We start from the raw sequence: 18391 nt of genomic DNA on the forward strand, positions 1-18391 counted from the left end.
CCTTTGGAAAATGTCTGCCTCCCACTGTCCCTCCCATGCAATTCTAGTGGTCTGCCAATCTTGAAACCCCACTCTCCTGACCACAATAGTGGGCACAAGCCACACTAAAACAAATACACTTCCTGTCCCAGGAATTTGAATCTTGAATTTTAGGATGCCAGTGTCTTAAAAGGATTGAATTTAATTTCAGCCACTAAAATCCCCAGATCAACCCTGCTTGTCTTAATATACATAGTTATTTTCTTAGTGAATGATGGTGATGGTTGCATAACAATGTGAATGTACTTAATGCCACAGAACTGTAGACTTAAAAATGGTCAAAATGGTAATATATATATTTACCACAATTTACCAAAAAACAAGACATTATAAAGAGGCCTTTGGAAAGATTGTTTATAGCCCATCTCCATGGGCTTACACTTAACAGTCACAGCAGCAGTATAGAATGGGCATACACTGCCAAGGCAGACAAGCTTCTTGCCTCCACTTGTGAGTCATGCCACCAACACCCTCTACTCTACTTCTCTCTAACCTCTGTTTCCTCATCTGGAAAATAGGAATAATAAAGCAGCATGACTCTGATGCTGTGGAGCTTTCTTGAAATCTAAAATTCTGTTAAACCACTGTAGCATATACTTGCCAATATAAAATGGCATAAAGCATAAAAGGAAATAAGTTTTTATTTGTTTTTTTTTTTTTTTTTTTTTAAGATGGAGTCTTGCTCTGTCACCCAGGCTGGAGAGCAGTGGCACAATCTCGGCTCAATGCAACTTCCGGCTCCCTGGTTCAAGCAATTCTCCTGCCTTAGCCTCAGCCTCCTGAGTAGCTGGAACCGTATCCAGCTAATTTTTGTTTGTTTGTCTCTTCATTTGTTTTTTGAGACGGAGTCTCACACTGTTGCCTGGGCTAGAGTGCAATGGCGCAATCTCGGCTCACTGCAACCTCCGGCTCCCATGTTCAAGCAATTCTCCTATCTCAGCCTCCCTTGTAGCTGGGATTACAGGCATTCGTCACCGTGCCCGGCTAATTTTTGTATTTTTAGTAGAGACAGGGTTTCGCCATGTTGGTCAGGCTGGTCTTGAACCTCTGACCTCAGGTAATCTGCCCGCCTTGGCCTCCCAAAGAGCTGAGATTACAGGTGCCCTGCCCAGTTTTTATATTTTTAGTAGAGACCGGGTTTCACCATGTTGGCCAGGCTGGTCTCGGACTCCTTACCTCAGGTGATCTGCCCACCTCGGCCTCCCAAAGTGCTGGGATTACAGGCGTAAAGGAAATAAGTTTTTAAAAGGAAAAATAAGAAATCCCACACCATTTAGCTATCAACTTCTAGTCCCCATCTTTCCCCCCACCCACCAAGCTCCCACCTCAGACTCAGACCTAAGCAATCTCTAATCTACTTTCTATCTCTATAGATTTCCCTGTTCATATGAATGGGATCATAAAATATGTGGTGTTTTGTGACTGGGCTTCTTTGTCTGTTTTGCTTTTAACTAAGCTGCCTCTGCCTGTGAGAAGCTGTGGAAACCCAGGAGCTCTAAACAAGCCTATAGGTTTAGAAATTTTAAAGTTTTTCCATTTATAGCAGTTTTAAGTTTTCTTGTTATAAAAGTAATATATGTATTGCAAAAATCTCAAAGGATACAGAATTAACAAAAATAATAAAATAAAAATCAGTTCTAATCCCACCACCCAGAAATAACCACTGTCAACATTTTGGTAAATATTCTTTCAGAGCTAGGCATATTATAAACACACACACATACATACATCATACTATATATATTTAACATTTTTTCCTGATTTTAAAATGTATAGATGCTTGTGAATAGCTATTAAAATGGTATAGAGATGTAAAATTTAGGATAGAATGTACTTCAGAATCCTTCTATATATCTTCACTTAAGAATATATCAAAACATTTTCCATGTTCGCTCATAGAGATCTATTTCATTATTTCCAACAGTTGTTAGTAGTCCACTATAGGAATCTGCCATTGTTTGTTTTGGCATTCTCCATTGATAAAATTTGTGTAGCTTCTATTTTTTGTCACTGAAATGACACAATCAAGATTGTGTCACTTGATTCTTTGTGTTAGTATTTCGTAGAAGTGGAATTTGCTGGGTCAAAGGGTATGAAAATACGTGTTGTGTAACCTGTTTGTTTTGTTTAACCTATTAAGATATTATGAACATTTTCAAGATCATTAAATATTTAATTTACCTACCTAGTTTTATAATCTATGAATATATTAAAATTTATTTTCCCAATCCCCTAACACTAGAAATTGAGTTATTTCTAAAATTTTCACTATTAGAAACAACCTTGCAATAAACATTACTATAGCTAAATCTTGCATGCATGCTTACAGTTTTTTCCTTAAGATGAATTCCTAGATATAAAATTGCCCCTTCAAGGAGTATGTATATTAAAAATAATAACTTTTATCAGTTTTTTTCTTATTACAGAAATAATACATGGTTGGGTGATCCTAGATTAGAAAATATAGATAGGCAAGAAAATGAAACGTGCATTACTTTACCACCCAGAGGTAACCACTGGTAATATTGTGGAGGTGATCATTCATACCTATGCTGTTTGCATACTTTTTTTTTACATGACTGCAAATACAGAGCACATGTTGCTTTAAACTGCCTATAATCAATCTTTTTATGTCATTATCATTTAAAATATCTGCATAGTCTTTTATAAATGTACCAAAATTTATTTGCACAATCCTTATTGCTGAGCATTTAGGTTGTTAATGTACGTACTTTGAAAACTTTTCAGATGAGTGCTGTACACATGGAGGGAATCGTCTCACTGTTAAAGAGCCCAGAACAAAAGACTCCTGCCTCTTTATAGACCTGAGAGACAGGGGGAGAGAGAGAGAGTGGGAAGGTCTAGGAGTAGAAAGGTACTGAGTCAAAGTGGAAAAAAGAAGTGCCTCAGCAAGGCCCCCAGTAAGGAGGCCAGTGAATGAAGGGACCAGGGCCAGGATTATGAATATGCATGGCTGGTTGGGGTAGGGAGAAGAAGGGCCGAGTTCTTGACTGCAACTCCCTTCAGAAAAGTACAACGCACTGCCAGTGCAAGTGTGGTATGGGGAGGCAGCTTCTCCTCAATCAGGCCTGCCAGGCAAAGCCCAGTAATTGCTTATGATCAGGCCTGAAAGATCACACATAGGATTTTGACCTGGAGCTGGACTCCTTAATAAATAGTAACAAATTGCCAAGACTTATTCGGTATCCCTCCCTACCAGAGTACACAACGGTGCCAGTAGAACTGGAAATGTGTCAGGGACCCCAGAGAAAAGACTAAAATGATTTCTTTTGGGGTGCGTAAACTGACAACTGAGGGCAGGTCGAAGAGTACCAACATGACTGGGCAACTGAATGAGCCTCAGCGAATCCTAAGCAGGCTGAGCCAAGTCTGATGTAATTGGGTCCCCTCCTTTTAGGGGATGAGACTGAGTCATTGCCATTTATCTCCTTTGAGGCCTCTACTTCTGGAGCGAATACTAAGCACATATTGTACAAATGCTTGATTCTGCTCCATGACCTCAGAAAGTTATGATAAATTTCCTGAATATTTTTCCTTAATAAATTATCTATTTTAGTTTGTATTTCTTGAGTTTCCTTTAAACTCTTTTGAAATTTGCAGTTTGCACTAATTCACAGTCTGTTAGACACTGTGTATATGCTTGTGTTAAATTTTCTTGCTTCAATATTTAAATAATTGGGAATTTAAGCATTCTCTGGGTTGCCTCAGTTACACTTTTCATGATTTCATAAACTGTCATCACATTTCCTTTCCATATTTATTGTTTTGGCTTGACCTTTTCTTTTTTAACTCATAAGATAAGTGATTCTCAAGGCCTTTGACCATATGTGGATCTTCCTGAGTTCTATTAAATTATTATTACTGGCCAGGTGTGGTGGCTTACGCTTGTAATCTCAACACTTTGGGAGGCCAAGGAGGGCAGATTGCCTGAGCGCAGGAGTTTGAGACCAGCCTGGGCAACATGGCAAAACCCCATCTCTACAAAAAACAGAAAACAAGAAAGAGCTGGGTGTGGTGGTGCATGCCTGTAGTCCCAGCTACTTGGGGGGCTGAGGCAGGAGGATAACTTGAGCCTGGGGGGTCATAGCTGTAGAGAGCCGAGATTGCACCACTGCACTCCAAGCTAGGTGACAAAGCGAGACATCATCTCTAAGAAAAATAAAAGTAAAATAAAATAAAATAATTACTACTACTATTACTACTATTATTATTTTAATTATCTATCATAGGGAAGCACTCTTGTAGGTTCTCAGAGAGGGACAAAATGTTGAATAACTTACAGCCCTCGATGAAATTATTATCTTCCCTTGGGCTGTAGAAGTAGCCTATCAGACCAAGTCTTTAGAACAGACATATGAAAGAACATTCCAGATGGACAGTCCATTTGCTAATTCACAGAGTTGCTCAACTTTTTAGTAATGAGCATGAATGGAAGTTAATTTTCTTAACTCTTTGTGTCATATAACTAGACTCTCCCCAAAGGTAGGGGTGACTGGACCTCACAGTCCTGACTTCTGCCTAGAGATTCTCCTTCCCTATGAGTTCTAACACCAACTACCAGAGTTAGGCCAAACTGCCCTCACTTCAGGCAGTATCTGCAAGTTCAACTTCCCCAGGTCACCCTCACCTCTGACCAGCTGGCTACAAAGAATTCAGGAAAGCACTCTACTTACAATTACAGTTGTATTATAGCAAAAGGACACAAATGCATATCTCATTTATTCTTGCAATTCCACAGTTAAGAATTGAGACTACAGATATAATACATAATGTATGACAAATTATATTTTCAAGGATGGTATTTGTAATAGCAAAATCAAATGTAACAAAAAAATAGCCACAGAAAAACTGGAAACAATGTAACATCAATTGGATACCTGTTAAATTATCTCATAATCACGCATTTAAAAACAATGAAAAGAATGAGATAGAGCCATGTGTGTTAACATAGAAACAGCTCCAAAATATTTTATTAAATATAAAAGCAAGGGGCAACACAATGTGTATAAATCTTTAAAAATAAAAACTGCCTGTATAAATACGAAATAGTACACACATGTATATTAATTGCTAGAAGGATCCACAAGAAACTCAAGTAATTTCCTTAGGAAAGAATGACTGGGAGACCTTCAGTTTTCATTTTTTACCTTTAGAAGATATTTGCATTTGTTAGTAAGGGCATATAATTTTTTTAATGGAAAAAGTAAATAGGTTGCACACCAATGTGAATGTGCTTAATGCCACCTAACTGGACACTTAAAAATGGTTAAATTGGTAAATTTGAGGTTATGTATATTTTTCCATTTAATTTTTTTAGTAAACAATATATGTAAATTTATTTTAAATAAAAGAAATATCAAGAGGGGAATTAAGAAGTCACGGGAAGAGAGTGTCTGAGTGCGTGAGAAGCTGCAGGGTGGCAGTAGAAACAGGCTCAAGGCTCTGCCTGTTGACGCTGCCTGAAGGCGATTTGCGTAGGAGGCCTACCTAGGCTTGGGTTCAGAAAGGAGCCCATTTGTCTGAAATAAGTTGGGGAGGGGAATCTGGTAATATTTTATTTCTATTCGAGCTGTTGATTAGACTCTGCACTGGGTGAAATTAGAGAGCAGGAGGATTTATTGGGCAGTGTGACCAGTTTTCTACCTGAGTAACCAAGGTTTAACTTGTACAGATCCTATATAAAACCTGAGCTGGATTCCTGGTAGATGAGAAACTGTCCTGGACTCATGGACTCCTTGAATATCAGAGCTGAAAAGAACCTTAGGGAAGCTCTCCTTTTACTTGGAGACACAGGACCAAGGAATGACTTCTGTTGGTCCAAGTCACATGGATGGTACATGACTAAGCCAGGATTGTAACTTGGGTCTCCAGGCAAATACTGTTTTTCTAAAAAAAAAAAAAAAAAAAAAAAAAAAAAGTTACACCAGCAGCAATAACGTTCTGGGCATGACTTCATTATCTTCACTCAATTTCTCTTCCTGTTAACTGCCCAACTGCTTCTCAAAATAAAGGTCTGGGTATTTGGTCGTTATTCTGTAGATACATTGCAGGGTTCCAGTTGCTAATATCTAGGATGATTGTGCCTGTATTCCATGTGTGAGGTTAAAAATTTTCTGGTTGTGTACTACTACATTTCATTGATTCCATGATGCATATTTTTTCACATTTTAACATCTCTGAAATCAGGATAAGGCTGATGATTGCTGTTGGCCAGGGCTGTCATGACAGTTATCATCACCTGTGCCTGTGCCTGTGCCTGTGTGAACTTGCCTGAAACCTTCCATTGACACCTGCTGGCAAGAACAAGAAAGCTACGGCATCAAAACTTGCCAACGGAACGTCAGAAGTTTGGAAAAAATCACAGAGACGATAATGGATGCTTCTTTTGGAAAAGGTCTTATTACTCTTGCTTTTTGGTACAGAGGACAGTATTACATAGAGAAATGCTGACATCAGCAGCTTTGACTTGGAAAGTGATCCAAAAGAGCAAAACTCTGAGCATGAAGCTATTTCCTTTTTTATAAATGAAGAAGAATGAGGCCAGGCGCGGTGGCTCAGGCCTGTAATCCCAGCACTTTGGGAGGCCAAGGCGGGCGCATCACCTGAGGCCAGGAGTTCGAGACCAGCCTGGCCAACATGGTGAAACCCCATCTCTACTTTAAAAAAAAAAAAAAAATTAGCCAGACGTGGTGGCACATGCCTGTAATCCCAGTTGAGGCAAGAGAATTGCTTGAACCAGGAGGCAGAGGTTGCAGTGAGCCGAGAACGTGCCACTGCACTCCAGCCTGGATGACCAGAGTGAGACTGTCTCAAAAAAAAAAAAAAAAAAAAAAAAAAAAAAGCTGAAGAATGATAGATGTTCAAAAATCTCTTAAAATAAGCCCAAAGCAGGCCAGGCGCGGTGGCTGATGCCTGTAATCCCAAGTGGGCGGATCACGAGGTCAGGAGATCCAGACCATCCTGGCTAATACAGTGAAACCCCATCTCTACTAAAAATACAAAAAAATTAGCTGGGCGTGGTGGCGGGCGCCTGTAGTCCCAGCTACTCCGGAAGCTGAGCCAGGAGAATGGCATGAACCCGGGAGGCGGAGTTTGCAGTGAGCCGAGATCTCGCCACTGCACTCCAGCCTAGGCTACTGAGCGAGACTCCGTCTCAGAAAAAAAGAAAGAAAGAAAAACCCAAAGCAGTGCTTTCAGTAAACTTAAAATAAAAATTCTAAGTGCTAAGAAGCGTAATGGTACATAATGTGAGTTTTATAATCATTGGCAGATTAGATGAACTATGTTAACTATATTAATATTAAACTATGAAATGAATCAAAGTCCCTTTTTCTTTTCTAGGCCTTGACCATTTAAAATAACATTATAATTCAGTAGAAGTTGCAGTGGTTCGGCCGCAGCTACCTCTCTGCGGCGGCGCGTCCCCTGTGCTTGGTACGGCTCAGCCAGTCTCCCCCGAAGCCGCGAGCCCGCGCCCCTCAGTCGATAGAGCCCGCAGCCCCCAATGTGGCCCGTAGCAGCTCCCTGCCCGCTAGGCCCGCGCCCGCCATGGTCCGTCCGCGCCGGGCCCCGTACCGCTCCGGCGCCGGGGACCCCCTCGCGGCCCCTCATAGTGCGCGCTGTCCGCTCCCGCTCCTGGCCAGCCAGCCCCCGAGGCCCGCAGTCTCTGCAGATCCGGGCCTGCTCGGCCCCTCCCGTGGAAGGTGCTCTTGTCTTCGGGGCGCTGGGTCCCATCGGTCCCTCCTCACCTGGGCTCACCCTCGGGGGCCTGGCCGTGAGCGAGCACCGGCTCAGCAACAGGCTGCTGGCCTGGAGCGGCGTCCTCGAGTGACAGGAGAAGCGCAGACCCTACTGTGACTCCACTATAAAGTTGAGGCGGACCCTGCCCCGCCAAGCCTACGTGAACCAAGGCGAGAACCTGGAGACCAACCAGTGGCAGCAGAAGCTGATCATGCAGCTGATCCCGCAGCAGCTGATGACCACCCTGGGACCCCTGTTCCGCAACTCCCGGCTGGCACAGTTCCACTTCACTAACCGAGACTGCTGCTTGCTCAGTGGGCTCTGCCGCATCATGGGCAACGGCTTCGCGGGCTGCACGCTGTTTCCCCACATCTCCCCCTGCGAGATGTGCGTGCGCATGCTCCTGTACTCTTCCAAGAGGAAGATCTTCATGGGCTTCATCCCCTACGACCAGAGCGGCTTCGTCAGCGCCATCCGGCAGGTCATCACTACTCGCAAGCAAGCAGTGGGACCTGGTAGTGTCAACTCAGGCCCAGTCCAGATCGTCAACAACAAGTTCCTGGTGTGGAGAGGCGTCATGGAGTGGCAGGAACCCAGGCCTGAGCCCAAAAGTCGATCCAAGAGGTGGCTGCCGTCCCACGTCTACGTGAACCAGGGGGAGATCATGAGGACCGACCAGTGGCCGAGGAAGCTGTAAATGCAGCTCATCCCGCAGCAGCTGCTGACCACCCTGTGCTGCTGTTGCGGAACTCGCGCCTGGTGCAGTTCCACTTCACCAAGGACCTGGAGACGCTGAAGAGCCTGTGCCAGATCAAGGACAATGGCTTCGCCGGCTGAGTGCATTTTTCCTACAAAGTGTTGTGCGAGATCCGCGTGCTCATGCTCCTGTACTCCTCTGAGAAGAAAATCTTCATCGGCCTCATCCTCCGTGACCAGGGCAACTTCCTCAACGGCATACGGCAAGTCATTGCCTACCAGCAGCAGGTCCTGCAGTGGAACCTGGAGCAGGAGCAGCAGCAGCAAGGAATGGAGGGTAGTGGCTACCCAGGGCTGGGCCCCTCCAGGAGTCACAGACGAGGCCCCGGCAGAGACTGGTGACACGCTTCTGAGCAGGGGCCCCTGGGGACTTCGATTGCCCAGCAACATGGAGGATGGCGTCCTGAGGCTTCCAAGGACGGTCCTCACCCCTGTACGTTTCCCCAATAAAGCCTTTTAAAAACCAAAAAAAAAAAATTCGTAAAAAGTCAACTAACACTCAGCTGTGAACCCACGTAATCGTGGGATCTTTCCCAATGCAAGACTTTTAAGGACAATTTAAAATTTTTCTGTGCTACTTGTTCTATTTATACTATCCTTATTTCAGAGTCAATTTTGGTAATTTGTATTTTTACTAGGAAATCAGCTATTTTCTTTAGGATTCCAGTTTGTTGCTATGGGTTTCTCTTATTAAACTTTTAATTTCTCCTAATTTGTAGTTTTCTACAGAATTTTTAATTTTGTTACTTTTGCTCAGTCTTTTTTCTTAATCAGACCAGATCTTTTTCATCTTTTGCAAAGGATTTTGTATTTATTTGTACATTCTACTGTTTTCTATTAAAATAATTTTAGCTTTTGTCTTTATACATTCTTTCTTTTCTTTTTTTTTTTTTTTTTTTTGAGGCAGAGTCTCACTGTCGCCCAGGCTGGAGTGCAGTTGCGTGATCTCGGCTCACTACAACCTGCGCCTCCGGGATCAAGCGATTCTTCTGCCTCAGCCTCCCGAGTAGCTGGGACTACAGTAGCTGGGACTACAGGCGCCCGCCACCACGCCCGGCTAATTTTTGTATTTTTTTTTAGTAGAGACGGGGTTTCACCATGTTGGCCAGGGTGGACTGAAACTCTTGACCTCGTGATCTGCCCACCTCGGCCTCCCAAAGTGCTGGGATTACAGGCATGAGCCACTGTGCCCGGCTCTCTTTCTAATTTTTAAAAATTGACTTTGTTGCTCTTTTTTTCTAATTTCTTGAAATGAAATCTAATATTATTTTTATATTATTTTATGAAAACTTTAATGTACACATTTTCTTCTGAGTAATTTCCACTGTGTCATTTGGATTTTGGTAAAAAGTGTTCTCTTTTTCATTGCTTTATAGATATTTTATAATTTAAAAAATTTTTTTCTGTGTGTGGTTTCTTACTATCTTTACATTATTTGTTTTCAATCTGTTGGCTTGAAATAAAGGAATGTGGTTTTTAGAGTCTGTTAAGGTTTTCTTCTTGGTCAAATATGACTGACTTTTGTAAATATTCTATCGGTACGAAAACATGTTTTCTTGTAGTTCGAGGGATGTTAGAGCTTACACATAGATACCACATCATTTATTAATTGTATTATTTAATTCCTATGCCATCCCACATTTGCTATATACCAAATTTATCCAATTCTGAAAAAAAAGTTTAAGTTTTCCAATATAATTTTATTTAATCAAATTCTTCTTTTATTTCTTACAGGTTTTGCTTCATATATCTAGCTATTATGTTGTTTTGTATCTGCACTTACACATTCTCCATCTGTAATTATCTAGATATCTTTTGTCTATATATGTCTTTATATTGATTTATTTGTTCTACATTTTGTTGCTCACTACTGAAGCAGTGTTGTTTGTCTGGGGTAATACCCCAGGTTCATTGCCTCACACCAAGGAAATCAAGGAAACGGACTAAGAAGGAGTGAGTTTAAGAGTGAAAGTTTAATAGGCAAAAGAGAAAAGCTCCCTTGTGCAGAGGGAGGGGGTTCCAAACGGATCTCCCGGAACCTGGCAAGATGCGGCTGGTTTTACGGATGGGCTTGAGGAGGTGGTGTCTGATTTGCAGAGGGTGCAGAGAATTGGTTGGACCAGGTGTGTCATTTGTATAGCATCTGAAGAGGCTGGCCACTGCACCCTAATCTTTTATTATGCAAAGGAATTTTCTACCTGGCTGGCACCATGTTCCCTGTTTCTTTACTGCACACATGGTGACAAAGAAAATGGAAGATGGAGCTTCCATGTTGAACATGCCTGGCCCCAGATAGCCTTTTCCTATTGGCACAGCTGCCGGCATTCACCTGCACAAGCTTCCAGCTTGCTTATCTATGTCTGCAGCTCGATTTTACTGGCTGCTGTTTGTTAGAAAAGAAATGGTTTTGGGGCTGTTTTTTGTTAAAAGTGAAGCCTCACCGAGGACTCTCTTACCCTCACTAACTGCCTAAATAATTTCTTTTCAGCTCCTATATCTCTACCATTTCTTCCCTTCTTTATCATCTTGTAGTTTCTCTTATGGTTAATCTATCATCTGGCTAGAGTCACTTCTTAAGTATTTTCTTAGGGTGGGAAAATGTAGGCATTAGTCTTTGACTTCATACATACCTACAAATAATTTCTTCCTATCACTCTGACAACTAAATGATTCTTTGGCTGGTCAAGAAATTCTTGAGTTGGAGTCCTTGCATTTCAGAAGTCTGCAGATATTCCACTAACTTCTAGCTGCTGCTGATGCACAAGAAGTCTGATTCTGTTTGCATTATAATTAATAAGGCAATTTATTTTTTCTGAGTGGAAAAGTTTGTAAAGATTTCTTTTTTTCCTTAGAGTTCCAGAATCTTTCCAGAATATTGCTAAGGGTGTGTGTGTGTGTGTGAATTTATCAATCAAGCCTGGACTTGTTGAATCCATTTAATCTGTAGATTCAGGTATTTCTTGGTCCAAAAATTTTTCTCCTTTCTTATGTTGCTTTTCCTTCTATGTGTCTTTTTCCCCATCTGGATCTCCCAATATAATATGCTAAACTTCTTGGATCTATCCTCAAAATGTCACATATCCTTTCTCTCATGATTTTAATTGCTTTTGTGAACCCAGAAAATCTGAAACAGGTCTCAATTAATTTAGAAAGTTTATTTTGCCAAGGTTGAGGATGCGTCATGACACAGCTTCAGGAAGTCCTGATGACATGTGCCCACAGTGGTCAGGGCAAAGCTTGGCTTTATACATTTGGGGAGACATGAGACATTAATCAATGTATGTAAGAAGTACATTGGTTCAGTCTGGAAAGGCAGGACAACTTGAACTAAAGGCAGGAAGCAGGGAGGGAGCTTCCAGGTCACAGATAGGTGATACACAAATGGTTACATTTTTTTGAGTTTCTGATTAGCCTTTCCAAAGGAGGGTAAGTCAGATATGTATCTATGTCGGTGAGCAGAGGAGTGACTTTGAATAAAACGGGAGGCATGTTTGCCCTAAGCAGTTTCCAGCTTGAGTTTTCCTTAGTGATTCTGGGGGCCTAAGATATTTTCCTTTTATACTTTATATCTTTCCTCCTTGTTCTAAGCTATTTTCCCCATTTGATCATCTAGCCCACTAATTTGGGTCTCAACAGTGATCATCTCCTTTCACTCATGTAAGGAATTTGAAGTTGCAAAATCTTTTATTTCTTTTTTTTTTCCTTTAGATATTAATATATTGTTTTTTGCTTTGTTGACTCAGTGGGGCTCATGATTGGTTGTGGAGTATCCTGAGAAGCAGGAGTCATAGTAAGGGAGGAGAACACCCCTCTTATTGTCTTATGCCCAATTTCTGCCTCCAAAGAAAAAAGAATTAAAAACTGAAGGGCAGAAATGAAATCCACAGGCAGGCAGCCCAGCAACGTGCCTTGGGCCTAGTAGTTAACAATCAACTCCTGACTTAACTGCTTGTGTCCCAGACATTGTATGGAAAAGCATCGTGAAAATCCCTGTCCTGTTCTGTTCCATTCTGATTACCGGTGCATGCAGCCCCCAGTCAGGTACCCCCTGCTTGCTCAATCGATCATGACCCTCTCACTCGACCTCCTTAGAGTTGTAAGCCCTTAAAAGGGACAGGAATTGCTCACTCGGGGAGCTCGGTTTTTTTGAGACATAAGTCTGCTGATGCTCCTGGCCAATAAAGCCCTTTCCTTCCTCAACTCGGTGTCTGAGGGGTTTTGTCTGTGGCTTGTCCTGCTACATTTCTTGGTTCCCTGATCTGGAAGCAAGGTGATAAGCGGATGGTCGAGGCAGCCCCTTAGGCGGCTTAGGCCTGCCCAGTGGAGCATCCCTGTGGGAGACTCTGGCCAGCTTTGGCGATGCGAATCCTGAGAGCGCTCCCCGGTAGGCAATTGCCCCAGTGGAACGCCTCCAGAGCACTGCACGGTAGGCCCCCGCGGAGGATTAATGCAGCGGCTGAACACCGGGAAGGAATTGGCGCTTGGAGTCCGGACATCTGGAACACGGTAAGACCGGTCTTCGAACTTGCCCACTCCATCTGAGTGGAAGTGTGGCCTGATCACCCATGGCGTGCCTTTTTGGCACCTTGGTTTTGGTTTTGATTTTGACTAGATTTGCACTGTTTTGGTTTAGATTTCAGTATTGACTTTTGGTTTTGAACTGTTTTGGCTTTGATTTCGGTTCTGACTTGGCTCAAATTGCTTGATGAATAAGTAACTCCTTATCCATACTTTGGTTTTAGTGTGAATTGCTTGGTGAGTGAGTGACTTTTTGCCCCTTTTTCCCTTCCCTCTTTGTGGTAAGAGTGTTGTTTTGTCTCCTGAGGAAAATGAGTAAAACACAAAGTAAGCCTACCTTGTTAGGAACTATGTTAAAGAATTTCAAGAAAGGATTCAATGGGGTTAATTTTGCCACATATCACCTTGTGAGGTTTATTATAGGAGGGTGTAGGTAGTTTGTTTATGCTTCCCACGACCTCCCACTGTGCGGTCCAGATGGTTTGTAATTGGGGTTTGCTTACTGCAGCAAGGTCTGATAAGTGAAGTCTGCTGGCTTCACCGTGGTGCCTAGACAAGGGCTTAGAAATGTAAAGAGACTTGGGGGAAGTGTGGGCAGCACCAAGAAGCTTTCTTGGGGGAGTCTGTCCCTAACAACTCCTGTGTGCCTTGACGTTTATAGTGGTGGGAAGAACTGTGGATTGGGAGAAAGTGAGAGCAGCAAGATTTTAGAGCCAGACCAAGGTACAAAAATAACATAATGGGTAGTGCACACGTCTTAGTGTCACTGTGCTTCTCTGATGACATAAACAATTTAAAAGTTATCTGCACATCTAATATGGCTAGCACAAATCACAAGAACCTTAGAAAATACTTCCTTTGGCTGGGTGTGGTGGCTCATGCCTGTAATCCCAGCACTTTGGGAGGCCAAGGCGGGTGGATCACCTGAGGTCAGGAGTTCGAGACCAGCTTGACCAACATGGAGAAAACTTGTCTCTACTAAAAATACAAAATTAGCCAGGCTTGGCAGCACATGCCTGTAATCCCAGCTACTTGGGAGGCTGAGGCAGGAGAATCACTTGAACCCAGGAGGTGGAGGTTGCAGTGAGCTGAGATTGCACCATTGCACTCCAGCCTGGGCAACAAGAGCAAAACTCTTGTTTCAAACGTCTCAAAAAAAAGAAAGAAAGAAAGAAAAGAAAGAAAATGCTTCCTTTAGTGACCATTGTTAAGCTTCAGAATTCCTAAAGAAGAAAAATCTTCTGGGAGTTATTTAAACATAGGATATGTTTTTACCCTAATGGATTAATTGTCCTTTTGCAAAAAGTGGTGTGATGATGACTTCTCAAGTTCTTGCTGCTAATCCTTTGATTCTATGTTTTCTTAGAACTAGAAAGAAATTCCTGGCTCTCTCTCTAAGATGGCCAACTACACGCAGCCAGGAGGAACATCTCCCCCCAAGGGACTAGGACATCCGAAGACTGGCAGACCTTGTCTGACCAGCAGAGTGCTCCAGCAGAGTGGCCCCTATGGACACACACCAGCCTGCCTGTGCCCTCCCTCCACTGCAGCCTCCCCCATGCCACTTTGACTGCATGCACTTGCCCACAGCCACCCCCTGCATCACTGTGCCAGTGTATGTGTATGAAGGCAGACTTTGCCTTACCTTCCCTGCCAGTATGTGTGGGTGTGTGCACCCTGCCATGTCACTGCTGCCAGGGTGACTGCACCCTGCTCCCCTCCCCCGTCACAATGCCATTGTTGTCAGATGGTGGTGAGCATGGAGCTTGCCAGTCCTACCCCTGCAAGTGCCCTGCCTCTGTGCCAACACTGCCACTGGCACATAACTAGTCATGGAGAATAGTGAACCCACCCTTGCTCTGACCAGCCACTGCTGTGGGTGTGAATGTGCACAGAGACCTCACACAGTCCTGCACCCTCCAGTGCCCCAACCCTGTACTAATACCACCACCAGAGGAACATGCACACAGCCCCATGAAGGCTGCCACCCTAGTACCCACTAGTACCCTGCTGTAGCTGATGAGCATGCAGTATGCATCCCACCATGCTGCTGCTGCTGCTGCAGCTGGCACAGGCAAATTAGGACAGATCACACTGTCACCCTGCTATGATGTGCTTTGGATGGCATCACCCATTAGAGTATTGTGACCAGTAGTCTGGGAACACCTTGGCCCCTCCAGCACAATAGGTTCATAACCTCGAGGAGCCAGAGAACAAAGTTGGGGCTCAATACCAGTCTCCCAGAGTTAGAACATGCAGTCCAGGAGTCCTGAGCTGAAGCTTGGCCCCCTAAAATCTTCCAGAAATGAAGTCAGTCACCTGAACCCAACACTACTATAATCAGGTCCCCAAGGTCACCAAATAGGATAAAGACAAAAAAGACAGCAACTTCAAAGATGGAAAGAATAAAAGCCCACAAATATAAGAAAAAACCAGCACCATAACTCTGACAACTCAAAAAGCCAGAGTGCCTTCATTCCTCCAAACAACTGTACTTGTTCTCCAGCAAGGGTTCTTACCTGGCTGAGATGGCTGAAATGACAGAAATAGAATTCAGAATATGGATAGGAATGATCATTGAGGTTCAGGAGAATGTTGAAACCCAATCTAAGGAAGCTAAGAATCACAATTAAATGATACAGAGCTGGCAGACAAAGTACCCAGTATAGAAAGAATATAACCAACCTGAAAGAACTGAAAAACACTCTACAAGAACTTCATAATGCAATTGTAATTAATAGCACAATAAACCAAGCTAAGGAAAGAATCTCAGAGCTTAAAGACTGACATTCTGAAGACAGACAAGAATAAAGAAAAAATATTGAAAAGGAATAAACAAAACCTCCAAGAAATGAGGGATTATGCAAAGAGACCAAATCTATGACTCACTGATGTCCCTGAAAGAGAGACTGGTACCAATTTGGAGAATGGTACCAATTTGGAACATATATTTCAGGATATCATCCAAGAGAATTTCCCCAACCTAGCTAGAGAGGCCAACATTCAAATTCAGGAAATGCAAAGAAACACAGTAAGATACTTCACAAGAAGATCATCCCCTAGACACGTAATCATCAGATTCTCCAAGGTCGAAATGAAAGAAAAAAATTTAAAGGCAACTAGAGAGAAAGGCCAGGTCACCTACAAAGGGAAGCCCATCCAACTAACAGCAGACCTCTTGGCAGAGACCCTATAAGCCAGAAGAGATTGGGGCCTATATTCAACATTCTTAGAGAAAATAAATTCCAACTAAGAATTTCTTGTCTGCCCAAACTAAACTTCATAAGCAAAGGAGAAATAAGAAATTGCAAATGCTGAGGGAATTTGTTACCACCAGACCTCCCTCAAAAGAGCTCCTGAAAGAGGCACTAAATATGGAAAGACCATTACAAGCTACTATAAAAACACTCTTAAGTACACAGACCAGTGACACTATAAAGCAACCACACAAAGAAGTCAGCATAATAAACAGGTAATGACATGAAGACAGGATCAAATCCACACATATCAATACTAACTTTGAATGTAAATCGACTAAATGCTCCAAGTTAAAGAGACAGAGTGGCAAGCTGGATAAAGAAGCAAGACACAATAGTATGCTGTCGTCAAGAAACCCATATTATATGCAATGACACCCATAGGCTCAAAATTAAGGGATGGAGAAAAATTTACCAAGCAAACAAGAACAAAAATAAAAAAAAATAGGAATTGTAATCCTAACTTCATACAAAACATACTTTAAACCAACAAAGATCAAAAAAGACAAAGAGGACATTCCATAATGGTAAAGGGTTCAATTCAACAAGAAGACCTAGCTCTCCTGAATATATATGCACCCAACACAGGAGCACCCAGATTCATAGAGCAAGTTCCTAGAGACCTTCAAAGAAACTTAGACCCCCACACAATAATAGGGGGAGGCTTCAATGCCCCATTAACAGTATTAGACAGATCATTGAAGCAGAAAATGAACAAAGATAATCAGGACCTGAACTCAACACTGGACCAAATGGACCTCATGGACATCTACAGAACTGTCCATACAAAAACAACAGAAAATACATTCTTCTCATCAACACACATTCTATATCAACCACACACTTGGACATAAAACAATTCTCACCAAATGCAAAAACCCCAAAATTACACCAACCACTCTCTCAGACCACAATGCAATAAAAATAGAACTCAAGACTAACAAAATTGCTCAAAACCATACGATTACTTTGAAATCAAACAACATGCTCCTGAATGACTTTTGGTAAACAATTAAATTAAGGCAGAAATCAAGAAGTTCTTTGAAACTAATGAGAACAAAAAAACAACATACCAGAATCTCTGGGACACAGCTAAGGCAGTATTAAGAGGGAAATTTATAGCACTAAATGCCCACATCAAAAAGTTAGAAAGATGGCTGGGTGCAGTGGCTCATACTTGTAATCCCAGCATTTTGGGAGGCTAAGACAGCAGATCACTTGAGGTCATGAGTTTGAGACCAGCCTGGCCAACATGGTGAAACTGTCTCTACTAAAAATACAAAAATTAGCCAGGCGTGGTGGTGCATGCCTGTGATCCCAGTTACGCAGGAGGCTGAGGCAGGAGAATTGCTTGAACCCTGGAAACAGAGGTTCTAGTGAGCTGAGATCACACCACTGTATTCCAGCCTATCATAACTAAATAACTAGAGAAGCAAGAGAAAACCAACCCCAAGCTTAGCAGAAGACAATAAATAAGCAAAATCAGAGCTGAACTGAAGACAATTGAGACACAAAAAATTCAAAAGATCAGTGAATCTAGGAGCTGACTTTTTGAAAAAGTTAGTAAGATAGACTGCTAGCTAGACTAATAAAGAAGAAAATAAAGAAGATCCAACTAAACAAAATTAGAAAGGACAAGGAGGATATTACTACTGACCCTACAGAAGTACAAATAACTATCAGAGACTACTATGAACAACTCTATTCCTCCAGACTAGAAGAAATGGACAAATTCCTAGATACATACAGCCTCGTAAGACTGAACTAGGAAGAAACTGAATCCCTGAACAGACTAATAACAAGCTCTGAAATTGAATCTGTAACAAATAGCCAACCAATCAAAAAAGGCCCAGGACCAGATGGATTCACAGCCAATTTTTACCAAATATACAAAGAAGAGCCGATACCACTTCTACTGAAACTATTCCCAAAAACTGAGAAGGAGAGACTCCTCCTCAACTCATTCTATGAAGCCAGCATCATCTTCATACCAAAACATGGCAGAGACACACACAAAAAAGAAAACTTCAGGCCAATATTCTTGTTGAACATTGATGGAA

General features: G+C 42.3%; 1 pseudogene, besides 1 other annotated feature; it reads left to right on the top strand.

Annotated features, from left to right (window-relative positions):
- Positions 7499-9021, top strand: PTOV1P1 (PTOV1 pseudogene 1; annotated as a pseudogene).
- Positions 14232-14835: an enhancer, noted in NCBI's record as "H3K27ac-H3K4me1 hESC enhancer chr3:120032196-120032799 (GRCh37/hg19 assembly coordinates)". NCBI's record gives its function as "activates a minimal SCP1, AML or CMV promoter by ChIP-STARR-seq in naive H9 embryonic stem cells {active_cell/tissue: H9 hESC(naive)}" and the evidence as "EXISTENCE:reporter gene assay evidence [ECO:0000049][PMID:30033119]".

The sequence above is a fragment of the Homo sapiens genome, chromosome 3 (assembly GCF_000001405.40).
Source record: "Homo sapiens chromosome 3, GRCh38.p14 Primary Assembly".
Taxonomy (NCBI): Eukaryota; Metazoa; Chordata; class Mammalia; order Primates; family Hominidae; genus Homo; species Homo sapiens.